The 23,111-nt window shown below is 45.6% G+C and overlaps 1 protein-coding gene across 7 annotated transcripts in view, besides 11 other annotated features; it reads right to left on the reverse strand.

The window, feature by feature from the left end:
* Nucleotides 638-727: an enhancer, noted in NCBI's record as "active region_7329". NCBI's record gives its function as "activates an Ori minimal core promoter by ATAC-STARR-seq in GM12878 lymphoblastoid cells {active_cell/tissue: GM12878}" and the evidence as "EXISTENCE:reporter gene assay evidence [ECO:0000049][PMID:35858748]".
* Nucleotides 726-1,226: an enhancer, noted in NCBI's record as "H3K4me1 hESC enhancer chr12:129276413-129276913 (GRCh37/hg19 assembly coordinates)". NCBI's record gives its function as "activates a minimal SCP1, AML or CMV promoter by ChIP-STARR-seq in naive H9 embryonic stem cells {active_cell/tissue: H9 hESC(naive)}" and the evidence as "EXISTENCE:reporter gene assay evidence [ECO:0000049][PMID:30033119]".
* Nucleotides 778-937: an enhancer, noted in NCBI's record as "active region_7330". NCBI's record gives its function as "activates an Ori minimal core promoter by ATAC-STARR-seq in GM12878 lymphoblastoid cells {active_cell/tissue: GM12878}" and the evidence as "EXISTENCE:reporter gene assay evidence [ECO:0000049][PMID:35858748]".
* Nucleotides 2,052-23,111, reverse strand: part of SLC15A4 (solute carrier family 15 member 4) — a 30,765-nt gene continuing 9,705 nt past the window's right edge. For 2 of the 7 annotated variants that reach the window (XR_007063043.1, XR_007063045.1), the window contains exons 3-9: nt 18,801-18,969; nt 18,254-18,331; nt 17,646-17,814; nt 9,712-9,867; nt 8,117-8,275; nt 3,725-7,922; nt 2,052-3,214 (exon numbers count right to left, since the gene is read on the reverse strand). Coding sequence is in view for 3 of the 7 variants with exons in the window: in NM_145648.4 (NP_663623.1) it covers nt 3,054-3,214; nt 8,117-8,275; nt 9,712-9,867; nt 17,646-17,814; nt 18,254-18,331; nt 18,801-18,969 (892 nt within the window). In the remaining 4 variants the exon portion in view is untranslated. Of the gene's footprint in view, nt 3,215-3,724; nt 7,923-8,116; nt 8,276-9,711; nt 9,868-17,645; nt 17,815-18,253; nt 18,332-18,800; nt 18,970-23,111 lie in introns of those variants that run through there. The other 5 variants (NM_145648.4, XM_011537895.2, XR_007063044.1 and 2 more) reach the window with 4 other exon arrangements.
* Nucleotides 4,002-4,141: an enhancer, noted in NCBI's record as "active region_7331". NCBI's record gives its function as "activates an Ori minimal core promoter by ATAC-STARR-seq in GM12878 lymphoblastoid cells {active_cell/tissue: GM12878}" and the evidence as "EXISTENCE:reporter gene assay evidence [ECO:0000049][PMID:35858748]".
* Nucleotides 6,022-7,221: an enhancer, noted in NCBI's record as "BRD4-independent group 4 enhancer chr12:129281709-129282908 (GRCh37/hg19 assembly coordinates)". NCBI's record gives its function as "activates an origin of replication core promoter dependent on BRD2, P300/CBP, MED14 and CDK7 cofactors, and independent of BRD4, by STARR-seq in HCT116 cells {active_cell/tissue: HCT116}" and the evidence as "EXISTENCE:reporter gene assay evidence [ECO:0000049][PMID:35650434]".
* Nucleotides 6,139-6,368: an enhancer, noted in NCBI's record as "active region_7332". NCBI's record gives its function as "activates an Ori minimal core promoter by ATAC-STARR-seq in GM12878 lymphoblastoid cells {active_cell/tissue: GM12878}" and the evidence as "EXISTENCE:reporter gene assay evidence [ECO:0000049][PMID:35858748]".
* Nucleotides 6,362-6,656: an enhancer, noted in NCBI's record as "tiled region #7648; HepG2 Activating non-DNase unmatched - State 15:Elon, and K562 Activating non-DNase unmatched - State 15:Elon". NCBI's record gives its function as "activates a minimal TATA promoter and a strong SV40 promoter by Sharpr-MPRA in HepG2 cells, with weaker activity in K562 cells {active_cell/tissue: HepG2 | K562}" and the evidence as "EXISTENCE:reporter gene assay evidence [ECO:0000049][PMID:27701403]".
* Nucleotides 11,290-11,791: an enhancer, noted in NCBI's record as "H3K4me1 hESC enhancer chr12:129286977-129287478 (GRCh37/hg19 assembly coordinates)". NCBI's record gives its function as "activates a minimal SCP1, AML or CMV promoter by ChIP-STARR-seq in naive H9 embryonic stem cells {active_cell/tissue: H9 hESC(naive)}" and the evidence as "EXISTENCE:reporter gene assay evidence [ECO:0000049][PMID:30033119]".
* Nucleotides 11,792-12,291: an enhancer, noted in NCBI's record as "H3K4me1 hESC enhancer chr12:129287479-129287978 (GRCh37/hg19 assembly coordinates)". NCBI's record gives its function as "activates a minimal SCP1, AML or CMV promoter by ChIP-STARR-seq in naive H9 embryonic stem cells {active_cell/tissue: H9 hESC(naive)}" and the evidence as "EXISTENCE:reporter gene assay evidence [ECO:0000049][PMID:30033119]".
* Nucleotides 19,660-19,759: an enhancer, noted in NCBI's record as "active region_7333". NCBI's record gives its function as "activates an Ori minimal core promoter by ATAC-STARR-seq in GM12878 lymphoblastoid cells {active_cell/tissue: GM12878}" and the evidence as "EXISTENCE:reporter gene assay evidence [ECO:0000049][PMID:35858748]".
* Nucleotides 20,994-21,063: an enhancer, noted in NCBI's record as "active region_7334". NCBI's record gives its function as "activates an Ori minimal core promoter by ATAC-STARR-seq in GM12878 lymphoblastoid cells {active_cell/tissue: GM12878}" and the evidence as "EXISTENCE:reporter gene assay evidence [ECO:0000049][PMID:35858748]".

Here is a 23,111-nt window from a genome sequence, read left to right on the forward strand (position 1 = left end):
GGCCGGCCCCAGGGACCCTGTACTTGTACAGCCCGTCCGCAAATTCAGGCAGGACATGCGGTCGCAGTCTCACCCTGGGATCACTGACCACAGGCCCAGTGGGTCCCTGTCAGTCTTAAGAACTTTTTCTCCCCATCTGCCCATGACACTGTGGAGAAATGAAAAGCTCTGTCCTGCCCAGCTTCCCCGAAAAGAAAGTCTGGCTGAGCATCTTCACATGGAGCGAGAAGACGTTTGCTTCATGAGGCCAAGAAAAGCCAGTTACACACACACCGACGTCTTCAGGGCAGGCACATGTTTCATGCTTATTTATTCAATCACCGCTTCATGCTGTAGGGTGAACCTGATCAACTATCTAAATTCAGAAGAAAATGTAAAAAGTTGTCTGATAAAAAAACAGTCTTTACTCTCACAGAACACTTCTGATGCAGGATGGGAAAGTGGCTCTCCTTCCCCACGTCACACGATGCTCCGGCGGACACTGAGCATCCTATAATATCCTGGCATATGCCCTGCCACCACCCACCTGGAGGCAGCATCAGGATCCCAGGGCTGAGGGCTCAGGCCCACGAGGCTGCCCGCCCCGGCAGATGCCAGGCGCAAGTAGTGGGCTGTCACCTACGCTTCTGACCAACTACAGAGCAGGAACTCCCTCTCCAGGTTCAGCTGATTTGCCAGAGCAGCTCTGAGCTCGGGAAACGCTTTACTCACGCGTGCCCGTTTATTATCAAGGCTGTGACAAGGGCACAGAGGAACGGCAGATGGAGGTGTGCAGGGTGAGGTGTGTGGGAAGGGGACCGGGAAGCTCCCATGCCCGCTGGGTGTGCCACCCTCGGGGAACCCCCATGAGTTCAGCAACCAGGAAGTTCTCAGAACCCCAGGCCTCTGGGGTTTTATGGAGGCTTCATTACGTAGTCATGACTGATGACACACCACTGGCCACTGGTGATCGACTCCACCTTCTACCCCCACCCCCCCAACTTCCTGGAGGTGGGGGAGGGGGAGGGCTGAAAGTCCCCCCACTCCAATCACCAGACTGGTTCCCCGAGCAAGCACCCCCTCTCCTGAGGCTGTCCAGGAGCCACCACAGATGGCCTCATTAGAACAAAAGATGCTCCCATCACCCAGGAAATTACAAAGGCCTTAGCAGCTCTAGGCCAGGAGCTGGGGTCAAGGGGTCAAAGAGCAAATATGAAAATGTGGGCTTCTCCTCGTGCCCTATCTACAGGGGTTGCAGGAGTTCTGTCCCAGGGATTTAGGGCCCAGACCACATCTGTTTCTTATCTCATCACAATATCACAGGCTGGTACCCTGATGACTCTGTCAACCCTCCAACTGACTTTCTGGAGAGAATTTCCCTCGTAACATCGAGGGTGCACCTAGCTAGGAGCAGGGGCTGGCGGGACAGACGGAGCGGATGGATGTGGTTACTCACTCACCGTTCACACAGCCCGGGGCATCAAGGGCACAACGCACCGGAGGAAGGATCCGAGAGCTCTCCCGACGCCACCTGCCTTTCCCCTTTTGTGCAAAGGCCTTATGAAGAAAATCTGTTTGACACCATGGGTTATTTTTACATGTGATATATCCTGAAGACATGAGTTCTGTCTCCGGAAAGTGGTATCCTTCGTAGCACAAGGCTTTTCGAAACCTGCCCCGTTTTTTTTAACCTGGGCTCACAACTCCGGCCCCTCTGAGATCCAGTGATACCATGAGTGTCATCTGTATTCACTCTATCCTACTTCCACTGGTTGAAATGTCTTGTATTTTTCTATAGTTTTTCTATACTTTCTATTACACAACGAACAACAACGTGAGGGTTTTTTGGTTTGTTTTTTGTCTTCTCCAAATGCTGAAACTACCCTTCCATGCAGAGGAGGCTGCAGAATCAGGAGACGCGCCGGAGCATCCGAGGGCTGTGCAGGAGCGCACTTCCCCACCCTCCCCTCAGTTCCCGACTCGGGAAGCTCTGCGCCTTCTACACGACAGGGGAGGAATCCACACGCCACACCAGCAGCGACTGAGGACAAACCACGCAAAGAACCGGCTCATGGATTTCGCATTTGAGATGCTTTTTATAATAAAGTTATGCCAAAAATACAGCAACAAATACAGAAAAAGTATTAACAAACGGAGAAGCCCCAGATACACGTACAGTAACAATACAAAAATGTGACTGGTCAAACAGCTCAAGTTCACATTTAACACTTTCAATTATTTTTAATTACACTATTTCTGTTCAAAAGAATGTTTTCCTTACATACAACCATGATCAGTCTTTAGTCTCAATCGTACCAAAATAAAGCTATATATAAGCACTCTGACTAGGTAAGGTGTGAAGTACCCCGTGAGTTGCTCTGTGGCTTGAGATGGGACACATGGTCTCAAATGACTCTTATGCATGCCTTGCCTTAAGAAAGAAAAGTAATGTTGATGGTTTAAAAAGTAAGTACTTTTTGAAGCAGCAGATGAAATGTGTTTACTACCAGCCTAAATCAAAGAACATGGCAAGAGCAAGATTGTTCTCAGGAAGGAAACCATAAATATGGCATTTATGTAAAATCCTTGCAGCATCTGACCATGCTTTTATCTTTAAAAAAAAAAAAATCCTCACTTTCTTAAATATAAGTAACAGTTTATTAATTTTTTTTTTACAGTGAGATATGGCTATGGGAAGCAGGTGATACTATTTGTTTAAGAAACTGGGATGCCAACTAACACGTGGAGTTCCCCAAGACTTTGCAATCTCCATTTGTGAGTTTCTGTAAAAAAGGGAACCCAGCTAGAGGATTCACAGAGACCTTGAATGACAAGCGACATACTCGAAATCTGCAGCTCTCCTCCCGGAGGGCCCAGCGTGCCAGGAGACACGCTGCAGTAAGGCACTTACCAAGCTCCTTTGGATAGAGGGAAAGAAGAAATCAATCCAGGCAACATGCAAGTTTCAGTGAAGTCAGACATTTTATGGGAATTTAAAGTCTTGCCTGTTCTCAGTGCACCCCAGTCAGTTACTGACATGTCAGCCTCAGAAACCGCACATGGCCTCAGGAAGGTCAGGCCCTCCTGCTGGTGGGCACGCCATTGGCTCTTGATCGCTGATGGTCTCGATGATGGTCATATTTCACAGAAATAATGAGGAAAAGCAGGAGGGTAGCTCCTTGAATAGCAGCCAGAAGAAAAAAGTAATAGTTCAAATAGCAGCCGTTAATATTACCTGGAGAAAACAAAAGGAAAGCGGCAGGTAAGCTGCGCTGCTACAGGTATTTTTTCAAGACTTTACTATTTAATCTGGTTCCCACTAAGGTTTAACTGGAGTCATAAAAAAAGTAACAAATGTTGTCTCTGTAGTCCAAAATGCACAAGCATCTTGCTTTCAAAACCACTGAAGAAGCTCCCTGAAGTCAGATACATCGCCACCGGGGGCTCTGGAGGTGGGCTGTCTGCAGCCCCCCACCTGCCCCTAGCAGCCCATCCCTCTCTTCTGTAAGGTAAAAGGAGGAGGTTCCCTGAGGAAACTAGAAAAGGTAGCTCCCCAGTACTCAGGAAAATCCCTGCGTGGCCTGCAGACACACATGCGGTGGTGAAGGGGACAGTGTCGACGGAGAGTGTGCCTAAGGCCGCACGACAAGGCTGCAAATCAGGAGCAAGGGGAAACCTGCCAACCCAGCCTCCTGTGACTGCTAATCCCCCCACACCAGAACAGCTGGGCAAAGTAAAAAATTACCTTCCTGTGTTCTTGCCACCAGAAACAAGTGTTAGCCGGTCTGGTGTTATTTCCTTCCTGCCTTTTCTGAGGCAGTGTTCCTCTCCTCAACTACTTCAGGGGAACTTCCTCCATTTATAGTTATGATTGGCCTGGAACTGCATTGTTGAGGAAGGCAGATGCGAAGATAACAAAAGAGCGCCTGACTATCTCTTTATCGAATCCTGAGGTGAGCGTCTTTGTAACTTGGCTATGGAACCTGTGCACTTTTTAGCATCACAGATTGCACTATGACACAGCCTGAACATCGTGAATTCTGGATTCACTGCATGGGTCACTGACACACCCAACACACCAGGGCCGACAGCTGGGCAATGTATCAAAGGAAGAGATGAGCTGGTTTCTGAATGTGTCTTAAACATGTTCAGGTTTTAGCATCCTCAAACTGACACAAGCAGATACCTCTGCATACTTTAATACAAAGAGTTAGCATACACTGAATACCCAACCGAGTCCCGGGCACTATGGAGGCACTTTACACGCAACGTCTGCATCCCAAGCAGGCTGGACAGCACAGAGGATAAGATCATGGGCCATGCAGCTCAAGCTATAAGGCTTGAATCCGGCCTCTGAGACCTCTGTGCTCAGTTTCCTCATCTGTAAAATGGGGAAAGCGCCGAGGAGCAGCATTTCAGAAAGGCACTCAAGAGGGAGTCTGGACGCGGTGAGGGTGCTAGCAACACGTGCCACGGTCATGATCCCCCTTTCACAGAGGTCTGGAACTGTCCACTCTGCAAACTGGCAGTCTCTCCGCCAGAGAACAGAGTTCAGCCAGCACCGGCTAACATCACCACTCAATGTGCAGACGTGGGAACGACGTGTGAGCAGAAAACGGCAGGACTTTTAGCTCGTCATGACTGGTCATCCAGGCCAAGCCGAGTGTCGCCCTGTGCTCTCCACCACGGCTGCTCCTGCCACCATGGCGTCCCTCTGTCTCCGTACCATGTACATCACCTGCCACCAGCTGGAAAGCACTGCTGCACGTTTCTGCACGAGGTCGCAGGTGCGTGTGGCCGGCAACATCACGAGGGGAGCGAGTGCTCTGGAATCAAGTTGCTCCATTTTCTGCTCCTCTTCAAAAACACTTTCTCATTTGTTTATTTTAAAAAGTGAGACTTCCTTTCTTCTGAAGACCTTTTTAAAGCTGGGTTATTCTGGCACTTCCTTTTTCTATCTGAACATATACTGCATGTTCAACAGTGCATTTATCAAATAAACACAATATAATACACGTCTGGGCCAGGCGCAGTGGCTTATGACTGTAATCCCAGCACTTTGGGAGGCCAAGGTGGGTGATCAACTGAGGTCAGGAATTCAGAATCAGCCTGGCCAACACGATGAAACCCCGTCTCTACTAAAAATACAAATAATTAGCCAGGCGTGGTGGCTGGCGCCTGTAATCTCAGCTGCTTGGGAGGCTGAGGCCAGAGAATTGTCACTTGAACCCGGGAGGTGAAAGGCTGCAGTGAGCCAAGATGGTACCACTGCACTCCAGCCCGGGCAACAAACGTGAAACTCCATCTCAAAAAAAAAAAAAAAAAAAAAAAAAAAAACCCACACATCTGTATGGTGAGATCTCACACATTTTTAAAGAGTGCTCATTCACACCAATTAAAGAAGATCATTTCCTGTGTCTACTGATTTAGAAAGACAGCTGCTAATACCCTGAATTCTACCAGACTAAAGCTTTATTTTTTCAACAGATGTTTTACACTATTCGTTCAACCCTTACGACCTACCAGGCTCTGTCCTGGGCACTCAGTGGAAATGCAAACCCCAGCTTCCTGGAGCCTGGCACTAGCTGTCACTGCTGTCCCAACACTGGCATTTGACGCTACTGAGACGAGGTTGTCATCAAAATATAAACGACATCATTTTATGTGCCTATTTTGAAATACGAGTCTCCCCAAATGTACCAGTCACTGAAAACTTCCCGAGCTAAAGCTGGCAGGCCACGTGAACTGAAGGCTGAGGCCACATGAACTGAAGGCTGCGCGGCCCTGCGGGAGTGGAGGTGCGGTCCAAGCCCGCAGGCAGACACACCACGCCTCGTCAGGGTCTGTCTCAGGGTGGCATTACACAGGGTATTCGGAAACGCCTAAGTCGCCTGGGAGAAAACCTGCCGTGCATTCCTGGGCCTCTTCACAGACAGAAGGATAATTACACAGGAAGATGGCAAACACTAGGGTTTTGACATTTGACAAGACAGACTCTTGGGTCCCCAAGGAATGAGCGCACCCGCCCCCCAGGCTCACAGGCAGGGCAGGTATTCACAACAGCCCCACACTGCCAACATCTGGGCACCCACCGACAACAGCATGGATAAATGCCTCGTGACGGCTCGTACGAAGGAGCAGTACTCAGAAGTACAGGGGAGATGCTCACAGACAGAAGTGCTAAGTGAAAGGAGACAGCCACAGCCCAGCACAGGACAGGCGAGGGTAACCTGTGGGGACCAACGCTGGAATAGAACAGGTTTACCTTCTGAGGGGGGCAGTAAACTAAGGAGAGAGGCAAGGAGGGCTTCCAAAAGTTCCTCCACTGAGATCCAGACTGCAAACACAGCAAGCTGTGCTTAAGATTAGAGACCTTTACTATGGTATGCACGTTCTCCCCAGCTTAAATAACACTAATAAAAGGAGCCTGCTGGGAGGTCGGTAAGAAAAACACAATGTAACAAAACTCTGGGGACTCTCCCTTCACAGTGCTGTGACTTTACAGAAAGCTATTTCCTGTGTCGGTCACGAGATGGTGAGGTAGGGCCAGGGATAAGGGTGGCACAGACACCCCCGGAACCTGGCCTGAGAGCTGCTGCTCCTTCCAAGGCCACACAAATTCAGGGAGAACTCTCTCTGAGGAGCGGGCTTCCTGTGGATTTCCCATGTCACAGCCTTTATTTCTCTACCCAGGACGCCAAGGGCTGCTCGACAGATGAGCTCCAACTCTCCTTACTGGTGTGAACCAAGGAGGCTGCCATGCAGCCAGGGGGCACAGCCTGGGGGCTGCTGGCAAACACGCCTCCTTCATGAAACATTTCCCATTCTTGAAAACAACAGACAGATCCTGGCCCATCCCCAGCACACACGCCCTGAGAGCACCAATGCAGGGGAAGTCCACAAACAACCTGTCAGACAGAAATGATGAATGAAAGGTCAACTCTGAGATGTGAAATTAAATTAAGAATGAGGATTAAATGACTAGAAAGCAACGAGAATGACCAGCCAATCCTTTATGACACATTTAAAGATAAAACAAAAACCAAGAACCAGAATCTTCGTCTTCAGAACTATGGACTTTGGTCTTTCTTTGAAGGAAGTCTGTCCCATGTACCACAAGAGGATCTTATTCCTCGGGCTGTTCATCTTCAGGAGAAGGTGGGAATGAAACACCAGCCCCAAATCCACATGTCCTCCTCAGAGCAAGCAGCCCTGAGCTGGCCATGGAGGTGGCACCCACAGCCAGAAAACATCAGTGACAAGTGTCCATGGGACATTGGTGGCTTGGAGTTCTGGGCTTTACATTAGGACTCCACAGGCCTATACTCATGGAAGGGCTCTGGGAATTCTGCAATTTCTGCAGAAAAGTCCCTAAACGTTCACCAGATTCTCAAGGGGATTTGTAACCTAAAAGTGGCTAAGTACTACCGGACCAGAGCAAATGCCACATGATTATACAAGAAAAAGTAACAAGGTTGTTTCTGTAGATAAAATATTTTTACAAAGGAAAAGAAAGAAGAAACCTTCGCTTGCTGGGTCCATTTAAAGGCATCGTAAACCTGGAGAAAGCAAAACTCAGCTTTTATGAGTGGTTCTGTTCAACACTCAAGATGCCACCTACTGGTATTAATTGTAAAAACCCATTATGATTGATCACAAGTAATATGTTTATTTTTAAAAGTAACTTACTATCTATCTTGTCTTTTTCGTATCAGAAAAGGTGCTGTTAGGAAAAGAAAACGAAAGTACACCACCAAGTTAAAGAAAGGGAAGCTTGGGGTACAGATTCAGCTGCCTCACGAAGACTGAGCTGGACGGGCGTGGAGAAGGTGCTTGTCTGTCAAGGACGTCCCCGTAAGGAGCGGTGGCTGCAGCAGCTGCTCGCTGGGCTGTGGCCAGGGCAGGCTTGGCCCCTGGGATGAGAAGAGAGGCCTGCTTGTCTCCTGAAAACCGTTCATGATGTAAGGAAACACAGTGATGCAAGCAGCACAGAGCAGTGCTGTGGAAGGAGCGGTGGACAGGCAGCTCGGGACAGGCCATCCACGTGAAAACACCTCCGCTCACTCAGCCATCTCCTGAGTGCCTGCGCCTCCCCCTCACTGGCTATTTTCAAAAGGGACAGGATGCTGGCTCTTACCAAAGTCTGTGTGACTGCTCATCCATCCGATGGCTTTGATAGACACCAGTGCCAGCAGTCCAGAACCCACGAACGACCCGACGCCAGAGAAGAAAAAGAACAAGCCCATTATGGCACTCTGCATGGACTTGGGGGCAGCTGAGTATGCAAATTCCAGGCCTGAGGAAAGAAAAGGGAGGGTCGTTTTTGTGAAAGGGGCACTTTAACACATGGGATCAAAGCTTTCACCTAATATAGCAGAGGAAGCGTGGGGTCTCCTAGGGACTGAGTCCTGCAGACAGGCACAACCTCTTTTCTATTAGGAGGACGATGCTTACTAGCGACCAAGAATCAATGGCTATGGGCCAACTGTTCATTCTCCTAGCCATTAGGATAATTCCTAATAAATTCAATGAGCAGAAAGTTAAACTCCTTGCTCTCAAGCTTAAAGGTAATGTGATTTGTTGGCTCTTAGACTTTTGTGTTCCTTAAAGAGATTAGAGAAAAAATTTTCCTATATTGTCAAGGAATGGGAGTTTGAAAACAAAGTACACACACTAAACTGGGAAATCTACATAAGGATTCTATTTCAGAGGCAATATACTTTATCTTTTTTTTGTTGAGACGGAGTTTTGCTCTTGTTGCCCAGGCTGGAGTGCAATGGCAGGATCTTGGCTCACCGCAACTTCCGCCTCCCTGGTTCAAGCGATTCTCCTGCCTCAGCCTCCCGAGTAGCTGGGATTACAGGTGCGTGCCACCATGCCTGGCTAATTTTTTGTATTTTTAGTAGAGACAGGGATTCACCATGTTGGCCAGGCTGGTCTCGAACTCCTGACCTCAGGTGATCCACCCGCCTCGGATTCCTAAAGTGCTGGGGTTACAGGTATGAGCCACCGTGACAAGGGCAATAGACTTCAAAACTATTTTGGCAGGCCCATCTATAAATTTAGATTTTTATAACTAGACACGGAGATTTGTAGTGTATTCTAAATAGAAGTCCATTCCGTTGTGATTTATTCCCTTTACAAATTCATTAGCCAATTCTGGATGAGTTTTCTACAGTGAAAACCACCACTGACTACTACCCACACATCCATCCACCTCTGCATATCACTCATCTTCTCTTCTCTCTCACTCTCAGCAGCCGGACAGATCTGCCCAGAATACACTTGTTCAACCACTGCAGGATCTCACTAATAGGAAAAGGGAGGCCTGTGAGAACACGTTTCTAAAAATTAGATCTGCTTCTTTACGTACATCTAAACGAAGCGCACTGAGAGCTGTGAGCTCAGCCCAGCCACCACGGCAGCATGGCCGAGGGCTCCGCTGGGAACTATCCAACCACGATTGCTTTCTTCTTCTCTGTCCTGTGGCACTTACAAGGTAGTTAACAAACTTTCATGAAAATATTTTGCGATACTGTTTTTACACAAAGAATGGAGAACCTCAGCACTGGTGTGTTTACCTAGCGATTCATATTCTAAACCACACACTGCCAAAAACTACAGAAGTGCTGTGCTATCCTTGTCTCAACATATTCCAACAGCACAGTCAGAATGCCCGAGCGCTCACGCTTGTGCCTGGACTCAGACACCTCCGGCACTAAAGGTCCTCACCTGCGATACTTGCAAAGATCTCGCTGATCCCAATCAGCAAGTACTGCGGCACCTGCCACCACAGCGACAGATCGGCAGCATGGTAGACGACGTTGCCGATGGTCTGATTAATGGTTTTCTCTTTAACAAGGTTCAGCCTTTTACTCTCCAAAATTCCTAGAATTCAAAAGTAGGTTAGTGTAATATTCATTTATTAACATTTACAGTTAATCTAAAAATCTGATGTTGGCTACGAGACTTCGTAGCAAACGTGATTCTGATGCGTGAAAGGACCACGTCTAATCACAGCTTCCCCCAGGACTAATAGGCCCCCAGCCTTCAGCCTCCTAAGCAGGCTGAGTGGAGGTCATGGCATAGCACACCTATTTCACTTCGGCTTTTTACAGCATCTTATATAAAATCAGATGTTCAACATGTTTCATTTAATCCTCAAATATCTGGATTGCTCACCCATACCTCGTTTGTCTCTTACAAAGGGGAGTAGGAGAAAGTTAAAAAGTCCTACTGTAGAATTAACAGTAGTGCTATTTTACCCAACAGCAGGTAATACTGAGATGTTCTTCCAATCATAGTGATGGATCGAAGGTGATCTACTGATTTATTATTATAACAACAAATGATGATAATAATGATGATGATGATGTTGGTTTCCCTGCATAGGGTAGGCTTAATCTTTGCAACAAAGTAAGCTGACTTCACAAATCAACCTGTGCTCTCAGCAGCATTGAGATCTCACTGCAGGTGCAGGCTAAGTTACTGGTCACCTATCAAGTGTAACAGAAAGACATGAGAAAAACAAGCAAGGGCAGCAGCTCCTACTCTATAAACAAAAATCAGCCACTGGAAATAAAGTGTAAAAGCATCTATTCGCAGGTCCAAGTCCTTAGGTTAAAGATACCACCAAGTTTTATTTTATAAAGAATTCTTATTGCAAATTAGGTCACAGGCCCTAATATTTAAAGCGTATGTAAAATATGTTTATTTTAAAACATGAGTATGAAGAAAGGTCTGGTCAGAGGGCAATGGAATGAAAATATTAAAAATGTTCCTTCTAAAACCTGAGCATGAGAAAGGACCAGGATATGATCCATAGGGCGATGAGAACACAAACTCTGGAATTTCCACCTCAAATCTCAACTGAAATGCCAAGCAAAGTGAAAACATTCTCCAGGATCAAAGTAGAGAGAGACCTTCGAGCCAACCCACAGCTTACTTCCATCAGAAAACCTGCAGCCCCACCCTGGAAGAGTGTCAAGGGAAACCCAATCCTTCCACTCCGCCCTCCACGGGAGAAACATAAACGCAGACCCAGGCAAGGACAGCAAACTATTTAGAGCCCTTAGTTGTTCTGGAAAGGGCATCTGAGGGCATCTTAATCAGGCAAGGCTGGTAGTGACAATAGGGACTGTCCCCAAATGACAGCCTTCCTCCCGACAGGGCAGCTGACAGCAACCATAGCACTGCACCCCTAGCCCTGGCATCAGCGCCTTCAAACACGAAGAATGAACTGTGTGACAATGGCTTCCCCTAGACACCCAAGGTCCTCAGCTCCCACCTGCTCCCCTGGGACCATAGCTGACTACACTGGTCCCCACTCCTTGAATGGGAACAGAACCTATGCAACTCAAGCAGAAATTCAGGTCTATTTTGGAAATAAACACGAAAGCTGAATACCACTTTTCTCCTTCACAGGAGAGGAGGAGAGCCTAAGGATGACACCAAAGTGTCTGCAGGGGGCGGGACAAGGGAAGGTTACTCATGCGGAGGACAATAAGTAGATTTTATAACCTGAATGGGAAAGATACTACTATTGCTACTGGCATAGTTCTACCAGAGAACTTGTCTTATTATTCAAGAAAACACAGACTCTGAAGACTAAGGATGAAAAAGGTAACAAAGAAATTAAGGGGACGTTGGCTTAAGAGAGACACAAATGATGAGATCAAGAATTAGGAGAAGAGAAAATGAGAAAATAAATAGGCCTGATTATTGGTGAGGCTGTTGGCAGAGAGATGAGCAGCGGCAAAGGCGCACACACAGCCAACACTGCGGAAACCAGGATCGGGACGGGTGCCCCCAGTCACGAGCGAGGCGGAGAGGCAAAGCCAATGGGGAAAATGACCCTGCCTGTGAACAACTGAGAGCCCTGGAGAGGCTGGGACAGGCCGAAAAGCAGCAGGGTTCAGGCTGAGTGACAGTGACATGGCAAGCGGGCACCCAGTAAAAACAAGCATGGGATGCGACGCTGGATAATCAACACAGCAGTCAGGATAAATGAGCCAAATCCTTCAGATAAAAGTCATCCACTTGTATCAGTTCAAAAAATAAACAAAACTGAGTATTACGGTTAATACACAGAACTAAAGCATAATATAACCCAAAGATTGTAAATAAAGGAGAGGACAGGCCAGGATGTATCAGACAAACAATCATAAAGGGAAGAGGTGTCAACAAAAATACCAAGAAGAGAGAAAAAGAATCAAAAACCAAAATAACCAATAGGTGCCATGTATGAATTGTTCCTTGTGTGATGAGCCGCTTTTGTTGATGGATTCACAGACAGCACCTCATTTATTATTCACAGTAAGCTGGGGGGAGAAATAACCCAAGCTCATTTGAAGATGAGGAAAATGAGACTTGGAGACAACTGGCAGAGCTGAGGCCAGGCTTCACACCCGGCTCTCAACGATGCCACATGCGCTACCTTCCAACCCAACGGCTGTTTCACTATGGATGACACATAGTATCCAGACACAACACAAATCATGAACTTTACTGTGAATTAAAATACCATCTGGCTGCTAGAATCTCACAGGAATACACTTCTTTTTGTCCTTGTCAGAACAGGTAGACGAAAAAAAAAATACAGCTTTATTTGGCATAAAGTTTACAAACTACAGACACAAATAGAAAGCGAGGCCCCAGACCGACTTCATGACAACAAATAATTCTTGAGGCCTACAACATGTCCGGGACGACACGACGAATTGGACAGACACAAAGATCCGGGTCCTCGTGGGGCTCCCTTCTGACAGACTTATGTTTTAAGCCCACATGGTGTTTTAGAAAGTGTTCGGGCAGGACCTGTCTGTGCCTTCCCATTCACCACAGACCCACTGTGTTATTCTTGGACCATGCACTCATCCCCATGGCCTCAGGCCCACTGCCAGTACTGGAGTTTAAGACTCCTGCTGTAAAAGACCTAATTAATACCGTTGGTAGTATTACAATACATGAATCATGCTATTCACCTACAACATTTTGAGAGAGTGATATTTGGCCATAACGGAAGCCTTGAAATCCCCAATGCAAGAATTATAAAAGCCATAATCTCTCCTGACTCAACAAAATTTGCCATCATTAACAAAAGTATAAACAAAAACATCAATATTGTAAAACTTAAAAATTCTCTGAAATTAGTCTTAGATCAAAAAGAAAACCAAAACCAGTTTCAATATTCACAGAAAACAAGAAAGAGAACATTAAAACAAATCAAAGCACACAAGAACTGACCAAAGTAGTAATAACAAGCAAATTCATAGCATTAAATTATCTTTTCATTATTAAATAGAATAGAATAAGTAAAAGTGAATGAAAGCCAGGCCCAGTGGCTCACGCCTGTAATCCCAGCACTTTGGGAGGCCAAGGTGGGCAGATCACAAGGTCAGGAGTTCGAGACCAACTTGGCCAATATGGTGAAACCCCGTCTCTACTAAAAATACAAAAATTAGCCGGGCATGGTGGCAGGCGCCTGTAATCCCAGCTACTGTGGAGGCTGAGGCAGGAGAATCGCTTGAACCAGGGAGGCGGACGTTGCAGTGAGCTGAGATCACGCCACTGCACTCCAGCCTGGGTGATGGGAGGGAGACCCTGTCTTGAAAATGAAAAAGTTATCAAATTTCTTCTCAGAGAGGTAATGGACTCCAGATGACTTCAAGCTAGGCAAATGCTTGGAACTCCTTGAGAACAGAAAGATAATTATTGTCCCCTTAAAATATTCTCCTGCCTACAGAGAAAAAGAGAGTACACCAACTCTTTTTAAGAAGCTGTATCACCTCACTGAAACCGCCAAAAACAACCGCAGACGAAGGCCGATTCTAGACACAGACGCACACGTGCTCAATGACACAGCTGCAAAGTCAGGTCAGAGGACCAACATCAGCCTCTTTTAACAGACAGGGTTTGTCTTCTAAAACGCAGGAATAGTTAAATGTCAGGAAGCTAATACAATAATATAAATAAAATACATGAGAAGCCAAAGGCAGCCGGGGGGAGATGCAATTATCCTTGGATACCCCCCCCAAAAAAATCCAACATTCATGCTGGCTAGATGTTTAATGTCATCACAAATACCTACTTTAACAAGCAATGATAAACTTTCAACTTAACTGTGAGCTACTAGTGGCAGTCCCATTAAAATCAAGGATGAGACTAACGTTGAATCAAAGAAAAAGAGAAAAAGAGATATAATTATTACAAAGACAGAAAAAGAAACTATATTATTTGAAGACAAAGAATGACCATTTGAAAATAGTTCACTGAAACTCACAGAATTTTATAAAATCCCATATATGAGGAACTGAAAATACATAAAGTAGTTACCAATAAACCTAACATAAAAGGTAGAGAACCTAAAGAAATGTATAAAACTTTCCAAGATTCCATAAATAAAATTATAGGAAATTTTTTTTCTTTTTGAGACAGAGTCTCACTCTGTTGCCCAGGCTGGAGTGCAATGGCATGATCTCAGCTCACTGCAACCTCCACCTCCTGAGTTCAAGCGATTCTCATATCTCAGCCTCCGAGTAGCTGGGATTAAAGGCATGCGCCACCACGCATGGCTAATTTTAGTATTTTTGGTAGAGATGGGGTTTCACCATGTTGGCCAGGCTGGTCTCAAACTCCCAACCTCAGGTGATCTACTCGCCTTGGTCTCCCAAGGGAAAATCTTTTAAATGGGAAAAAATCCATAAGCTAAGAGATAAAAATTTGAAATCCTTAAATAATCATGATCTATTACGTAACAACACAAAAAAAGAAAAACCTGGCCGGGTGTGGTGGCTCATGCTTATAATCCCAGCACTTTGGGAGGCTGAGGTGGGCAGATCACGAGGTCAGGAGATCGAGACCACGATGAAACCCTGTCTCTACTAAAAATACAAAAAATTAGCCGGGCATGGTGGTGGGCACCTGTAGTCCCAGCTACTCGGAGAGGCTGAGGCAGGAGAATGGCGTGAACCCGGTAGGCAGAGCTTGCAGTGAGCTGAGATTGCACCACTGCACTCCAGCCTGGGCGACAGAGACTCTGTCTCAAAAAAAAAAAAAAAAAGAAAAACCTATTACAAAAATGGGTACAACACAAACTGTACACAGAATATAACCATGTACAGTTACATTCTATGGGGATCCAGGTAAACCATGACCCACCTAAGATGACAAGTTTGATAAATTTTGGGAAAGAATCTTAAACGTCACTAATAACGTGTTAAAACAATAATATACCATTTTTCAACCCTTCAGCTAAGAAAAGATTAACAGAAAAAAAAATCATTTATTATGGGTGTAGATTTATTATGGGTGTAGGTGGTAAGCTATAAGCAAAATCAAGTTTCTTTCCCATTAAAATTTTGGTTTGCTATGATGGTTTCAAATCTCTACTCAAAGACCATTAATGTCTCTAAATAATACTCACTAGAGCTAGGAATGAAACCTCATCAAACATGGGCAGGTGTTTTATTAAATTTAATAGATTGTACTCATGTCAAGTTATAAGATATATGTAACTCTTCCCAACTACTGGCGGGTAAAGCTTCTTCCCAACACTGGGTCACTTAGGAAAGAACGCCTGTTTCAGGACGCACACATGCTGTGAACTTTCCACTTCCATGTCACCAATTCAGAGGCTCTGGAGCTGCTGCTGTCACACTAGGTCAGAGCGCATGCCTCCCCATAGGCGCCAACACTCAGTAAGAAGGCAAGCACTGTGCAGAGGCTGCCTGACTCCAGTCAGTACATACTGGACTTGATGTGCTGTGGATTTTGCTAGCGCTTTTTTTTTTTTTTTTTTTTGAGACGGTATCTTGCTCTGTCACCAGGCTGGAGTGCAGTGGCGCGATCTCGGCTCACTGCAACCTCCACCTCCCGGTTCAAGCGACTCTCCTGCCTCAACCTCCCGAGTAGCTGGGACTACAGGCGCCCGCCACCATGGCCAGCTAATTTTTGTATTTTTAGTAAAGACAGGGTTTCACCACATTGGCCAGGCTGGTCTCAAACTCCTGACCTTGTGATCCACCTGCCTTGGCCTCCCAAAGTACTGGGATGACAGGTGTGAGCCACCGTGCCCGGCCTGCTAGCGCTTTTTAAAGACAGAACTGACGGAGTGCAATGGGGAAATCTCAACAGTGACTGGTCTGGCACTTGTATCCTGCACAAACACATATCGAAACCACCAGAATGGACTGCATGGCTCTCAAGGCAGCCCACAGAAGTGATTCAGCCATTTATGAAACTGAAAGAGAGGATGTTAGGAAAGGAGCCCAAACCAAGTATCTACTGGAAAAGCCTCCGGAAACCAAGGACGTCTCCTTTCCCACAGGGAGGGAACGAGGACTCCCTTCCTTGGCATCAACCAGTGTGGTGACGGGGCACAGAGAAGGCACTCCAGCCCCGGGGGGAGAGAGAGGTCTGAGGCCAAAGCTGAGCCTGCGCTTTGGGGAGGTAGGACAGGCAGGCAGACACAGCCTCCAGTGCAAAGACTTCCTGCAGACAGCCCTTCTGCAGGCGCACTCTGCTGAACCGCAGCCTGCAGCTAGAGCCCTGCGGTGATTCAGTTCTTCTCTGCCCATGCTTATTTCCCCATGTGCCACAGCTCTGGAAGAGAAGCTGAATTATAAAGAAGGCACAGCAAAAACTTCATTCAGACACGACCTCACTTTAATTATCTATTTGAACAAAAGAAAATGCAATAGTCTTCTAAAATGTCCCAGTCTCTAGAACAGAGATTTCTTAAGCCCAGGGACTAATTTCTTTAAATCTATTAAGTACTATATCAATACATTCAGTCTGGCAAAAGTAGATGAAAGCTGCTATGAAGGCAGCATTGTTTGAGAATATTAAATTCCATTTCAGCAATGCTTAACACTGAATTCCTCATGACAGCAGATAATACATAGTTGGTTCAAGAATATCAACTTTTATTATTATGTAACTAAGCTGTTTCATCAGTCAATAATTTTCAAATATTAATGAAGGGAGAACTCCAAAATAATTCAGAAAGTCAGCAATACCCAGCTTTATCAGCAAAAGATAAACAACTCATTTCAGCACATAAAAATTATGAAAACAGAATGGAAATCCTCAAAAGGATAACTCTCCTCATCAGAGTTTAGAGACTTAGGCATTTGTTCTTATCAGGTTTATCTGTAGCGGGAGGAGATGCTGCCCAGGAGCCTGTAACAATCTAGAAACATTTTTGTCACCAGAAAAATGCACACAGAATTTTACATAAAAAATTCAAAGGACTCGCAGGCACCCTGACACTTGTTAATAAACCTAAGGTTAGTAATCTGAAGGTGGAATTCTCATCCTTGAGGATGATACAGTACCTTTAATTTACAAAAATTCATCTATTCAGCATTCAATAGCCTAATTCTAAATCAGTAGGTAGAGAAAAACCTCCCTTTAACTCAGTCCAAATGTCACTTTTCAGAGCAACCCAATGGTTTTAGTACCAGCAGAAAAATGACGTATCCTTAGGAAAATAATCTTAAACTTTAAAATAAAGGATTAGTGCTGTAAAATAACTGATACACATCCTCTTTTACAGACATGCACTTCCTGAACAACCTGGGGCACGACTGCGTGTGAGCACTATATTCTGAATCCACAACTGCTGCAGTCGGGCCTGAGGAGGAACGGAGCAGAATGCCTCTTACCTGCAGCAAAGGCCGAGCACATGACAAAGAACATGCCCACGGCGATCCTCTTCAGGGAGGATGGGAGCAGGCCATGTCTTCTCAAAATGGGATCGACCAGTTTGTCCTTCAGAGGGATGAGCAGGAGGATGAGCACAGCATCAAACATGGTCAGCCAGGCTGCAGGGAGCTGGGGTGAAACACAGGAGGAGGCGTTTACTCCCCGCAATACAGGCCATCACCTGTCTAGAGAACCAACGTCTCAATGGGAGAAATGCACGTAAAGAACAGTTCCTCTCCACAAGGTACAACCTCTTCAGTTTAGAGACAACGGAACTGGGAAAAGATTTCTTTCCAAATGAATCTGCATTTGCTTTTCTGTGTTTTGAGGGGAAAATAATCAGGTGAAAAATACTAAGTAATGTTGAATTGATGTTAGTCAACCTAATCTAGCAAATGATACAACCAATGAAAAAATATTCTCTAAAATAAGTAAAAACTCTATTTCAATAACAATGCTTTTGTGTCGGTGCTGTTAACATTTATAAAAGATTTACAGTTGGTAGAAGGAATCCATTTATTACATAAGTCCAAAATAACAATGTTCAGATCATTACAATTGTTCTTACCGTGTGAGGAGTGGTTGTAATATTTGAAATTTCTGGAATCCTCAAATGAAGACTCTGTAAAACATATGTTGTCTGCATCTAGGTATAAAAAACAGTATCATTATATGTGGACCAACTGTGCTCTCAAACACTCTAAGCATCCTGCCCCTCCCCTAAGCTAGACTCAGATGCGACACACAGTGACTCCCAGAAATAGACAATGGCTCAAGTTTGAAAACAGACAGGTCAATGATTTGGTCATCGTAAAGTCCTCTGGAGATCAATTTTGAAAAAGAATGGCCAGTTATCCAAAGGAGAAATTACATTAACAAGAGGGGCCTGAAAAACCAGAAGCGTACCTGTTCTCAGCTTCTTTTTCAGAGAGGCTTTAGACATAGTTAAAGCAGCCAAAATGACTCCATAACTAAAACCAAAAATTCCAAGATTCTGTAGACTCATGGGAAAAAAAATCACCTAGTCCTACCTACTTTAGAAATGGCCAAAACAAGTGCTAGGGTAAGACTTCATAGGAAGATAAAGGAAATTAAACCTGTTTGTCACCACTCACTTGGAAATACACTGTCCAGTAAGGTATCAAAGCCAAGAAAACAGGGACAATCTTGACCAGAGCTTTCACATCTTCCACTTTCTCTTCTGTAAATGGCCCACCATGAGACATCTTACATGAATCAAACAGACTTTGTTTAGAAGATTGCTGAAAGACTCCAATGCCTTCACTTTGGGAAATAAAATGAAGGAATTAGTTTTCTTCCCCTCCCAGCAATCAATTATTTGGTCACAAATTAAGTTTGGAGGTAAGAAACCAGCTCACTGTATTGAATCTGCTTCAACTCATTCCATCACTTACTAATTGTACACACCCAACACAGCTACCTAAATTATTTCTAAATGTCACAGAATGTACTGAAACAGCTGACAAAGGGACTTTCTAGTCAAAGTGAAACTGGGCTACTGTAATTTTGGCGTGGCTGGAAGATCTGTGATGACAGTGTGAACCACGGCTGAGCTGAGAGCCCCAGCGCAGCTGCCAGCTCGGCAATCTCCGTGTGGGGAGAGTCTGCAGCTCTACGTGACACTGGGAGGGACACTAGCTATGCCACTGGATAGCATATGAAAAAATGCACTGGATTGTGTGAATTTTTAATCAGCTAATTTATCAAACATCAAGACCTGACAGCCAATACCCATGCTGTTAATAAAACCCTGCTGGTTTAAACTGAGTCACTGGCAGGACTGAGGCAGGCTTCTATTCTCGGAGGAAAGCTGTCAGCTCTTGGATTAAGGAAGAGCTGTTGGGGGAGGGCGGTGCTGGTGGTGATGAGAGGAGGATGTCCCTGGCTCTGTCCCCTGACAGTAGGAAACAGGGAGTGCCCAGTGCACCGCGTCCCATGTGCTCCCTCATTAACCATGTGGTGTTAAAACTCTTCAGGGCCCTATTGCACAGAGGAAGATGCCGGGGCACAGAGAGTGTGAAGGGTGCCTGAGGTATGGCCAGGACTTGGACCCAGGCAGTCTTGGCTTTACAGCCTGAGGCCCTGACCCCTGCAGGACACCACTGTCCCTCCACTCCCTGCCACTGCCCTCACATCTGCCGGTCACAGCAGGAACATGGACCTGGCATCCCCAGCTCTTGTACTAACGAGTTTCACTTCCTTGCTCTGGGCCTGCTTCATTATTTAGAAAATGAACAGGCCCCACTAGACAGCTCCGCACTCTCTCCCAGCTCCAAAACACTCTAATGGGGAACGGGCTCCAAGGATCTCAGGGGTAAAATGGGAAAACAAAGTGCACACTATTCTCTAAAGCCAGAAGTACCAGGAGAGAGTTAATTCCCAATAAGATTGTGTTTAACTGTGGGAAGCCAACAGAAATGGCACCTGTCAGCCTTCTAGTTTATTAACTCATGTCCCATTTTACTATGGTGCCAGTATTTTAAATTCTTTATCTTATAAAGTCAACATTTTAAGTCTGGACATTCAGAGTGGGGAAAAATAGAAGCGCTGAAAACTATAACTGAATATTTTAGCCAAATTTTGGACAAGAAAACTAAGTTCGATTCAACAAATACTGATCGAGTACCTGCTGTAGGCCCTGCATTGCTCTACCTGGGGGCTAAAGGGGAGGGCTCCTGTCCTTACGGACTTAGTCTAGTGGGGGAAAATAATCAAAAACAAAAACACCCAAAAGTGAAAATAAATTCCAAAGACATTATAAATACTTTCACTCGAAAACATTAACTTCTTCAAGTACTACTTTTTTTCAAAAAGGAAATTAAAGTCCTTTTGTACCTAATGCAGATACTATCAGTGGTTTACCACATCATATTAAATACCTTTCACTAAAAACATTTAAATAACAAATAAACCCATTTTCACACAAAGAATCATTCACACAGGTTACTGGTTATATTACTTTCGCTTTATGTAATTAAAATATTTAAAAGCTGTGAAATCAACATGCATCTGAAGCTTTACTGGGTTACACATATTGTTAGGTGCACTATTTTGCAACATACAAGGGTCCAACACGAAGCCACGGTCACAAGTGACACCCGAACACCCACAAGAGCCCTCTGCTCCTCCCACACAAGTTGACGAGCTCCAGTTTCAGGACGCCTGTGCCTGAGTCTCTGTGAAGGCCGCATGTAGGTGTGTGTATTCTCCAGGAAAAGAGTCCACTGGTTCTCACGGATTCCCAAAGAAGTATGTATCTCAAAAAGCTGTAGAACCATTTCTACTCTGGTCTGATGAGTTGAACAAATACGCCTTCATTTCTCATTTAATATCAAGCACTATATTATCTTCAAAACACAGATCAACCTGGATTGAAACTGAGATTGGGCCAGATGAAATTAAGTGTCACAACTGTAAAAATGTTGGGTATGTCATGCTTCCTCAGGCTTTGGAGGCCCAACTTTTTTTTTTTATTTTATTTTTTCGTTTTTGAGACGGAGTCTCGCTACCTTCCAGGCTGGAGTGCAGTGGTGTGATCGCGGCTCACTGCAAGCTCCGCCTCCCGGGTTCACGCCATTCTCCTGCCTCAGCCCCCCATGTAACTGGCACTACAGGCACCCGCCACCACGCCCGGCTAATTTTTTGTATTTTTAGTAGACGGGGTTTCACGTATTCGCCAGGATGGTCTCGATCTCCTGACCTCGTGATCCGCCCGCCTCGGCCTCCCAAAGTGCTGGGATTACGGGCTTGAGCCACCACGCCCAGCCTGGAGGCCCACCTTTTTTAAGGCACCCTCGTCACAGTGGTCACCACTGACAGGGCCCTTATCATGTACCTGGCATCCTGCTGAGGGCCTTGCACACATCACTGTGCTCAGGCCCCACCGTGAGCCCATGAGATGAATCCATCTCCGCTGTAAAAAAAGGAAAGCTGGGCTTCGCAAGATCAGTAACCTGCCCAAGGTTACAGAGCCAGTTCATACAAACAGCAGAATCTGAGAATTCCTCAGACCATCAACTTTTCTGCAAGCTAGCCCCTGCTTTTTTTTCCCTTATTTTTGCCCAAGAAGACTTTCAAAGACTATCCTAAGAGGAAATCGGCTTCCTAAGTAAAAGTAACTCCAAACCCTCTCCACACTGCCATTTGTGCTTTAAAACCCAAATATGTCCACAGAACAATGCTGTTCTCTTGCAGAAATGTCTATGGGCTACCACCCACACGGATACTAAAACTTTAAGGGTTGTTCCTGAAAAAGACCTCTAGGATCCGAAACACTGCTTTTGTCTGATCAAATAAGGCCCTGGCAAAAGACTAGTGTCAGCTAAGATGGGGCTATATTTTTTTTTTTTTTTTTTGAGACAGGGTCTCACTTTGTCACCCAGGCTACAGTGTAGTGGTGCAACCATGGCTCACTGAAGCCTTGACCTGACCTCCTGGGCTGAAGTGATCCTCCCACCTCAGCCTCCTGTACTTTAATTACTAAAAATTCTTTAGTGCGGTCCCACCATTTGCAGTTTTGAATTATGTGTCTGAATGCCACAATGACCCACTGGCATTTCCAATAGGTCATGTAGACTGGTGAGATCTGCCAGAACTCCACACAGGGACAGCCGGAGAAATCAGAGATGTTCAGGAGCAAAGTAGGCGCACAGGGCTATTTTGGTGAAGTTTCAATCTACCACGTGGAAGGAATATTAGACACATTCGCTACGGCTCCAAGAGCATGAGTAAGACAAACACAGACAGGCCGCAGGCAGGCAGATGTGTGAGTGGGCCCGCAGAAGAATGTCCAGCAACCAGTGCCATGCCACAATGGGGTGCACGGCTCAGAGACACAGGACGCTCTGATGGCTGAGTGATCAGCCTCCCACCCAGCAGCCTCCAGGCATTTCTACGTTGATCAAAACATTCCATGAGGGGACTGACTACAAAAGGTCCCAGAGACTTCTCTGGAAGGATGGAAATAATCTATGCCTTGACTGCACTGGTGGTTACACAACCTGAGTAAGTTTGTCATAATTCACAAAACTGTACAGATATAAGGGGTAAATTTTACTATCTGTAAATTATTCCTCAATAAAGAGTAACACAAACACTTCTGAGCTCTCTTCTTGGGCTTAAGTTCTGGACTTTATTAACTGGCATCCAACATCACCAAACATGAGTCATAGTTGGCCAGTGACTTGGAGGGGTTCTGAGGACACAGGCCTTTCTGTTTTAACACCTCAGTTCATGGGACTTTGGTGCTAACACTGGGTAAGTCCCATGAGATCATCTGGTTACCCTCAGTGCATCTCGCCATTCTGCTACTGCACCTTCCTGTCAAGAGTTACAGACCTGACCGCCGTATGATGGACCTGACCGCCGTATGATGGACCTGACCGCCGTATGATGGACCTGACCGC

This window comes from Homo sapiens, chromosome 12 (assembly GCF_000001405.40).
Source record: "Homo sapiens chromosome 12, GRCh38.p14 Primary Assembly".
Taxonomy (NCBI): Eukaryota; Metazoa; Chordata; class Mammalia; order Primates; family Hominidae; genus Homo; species Homo sapiens.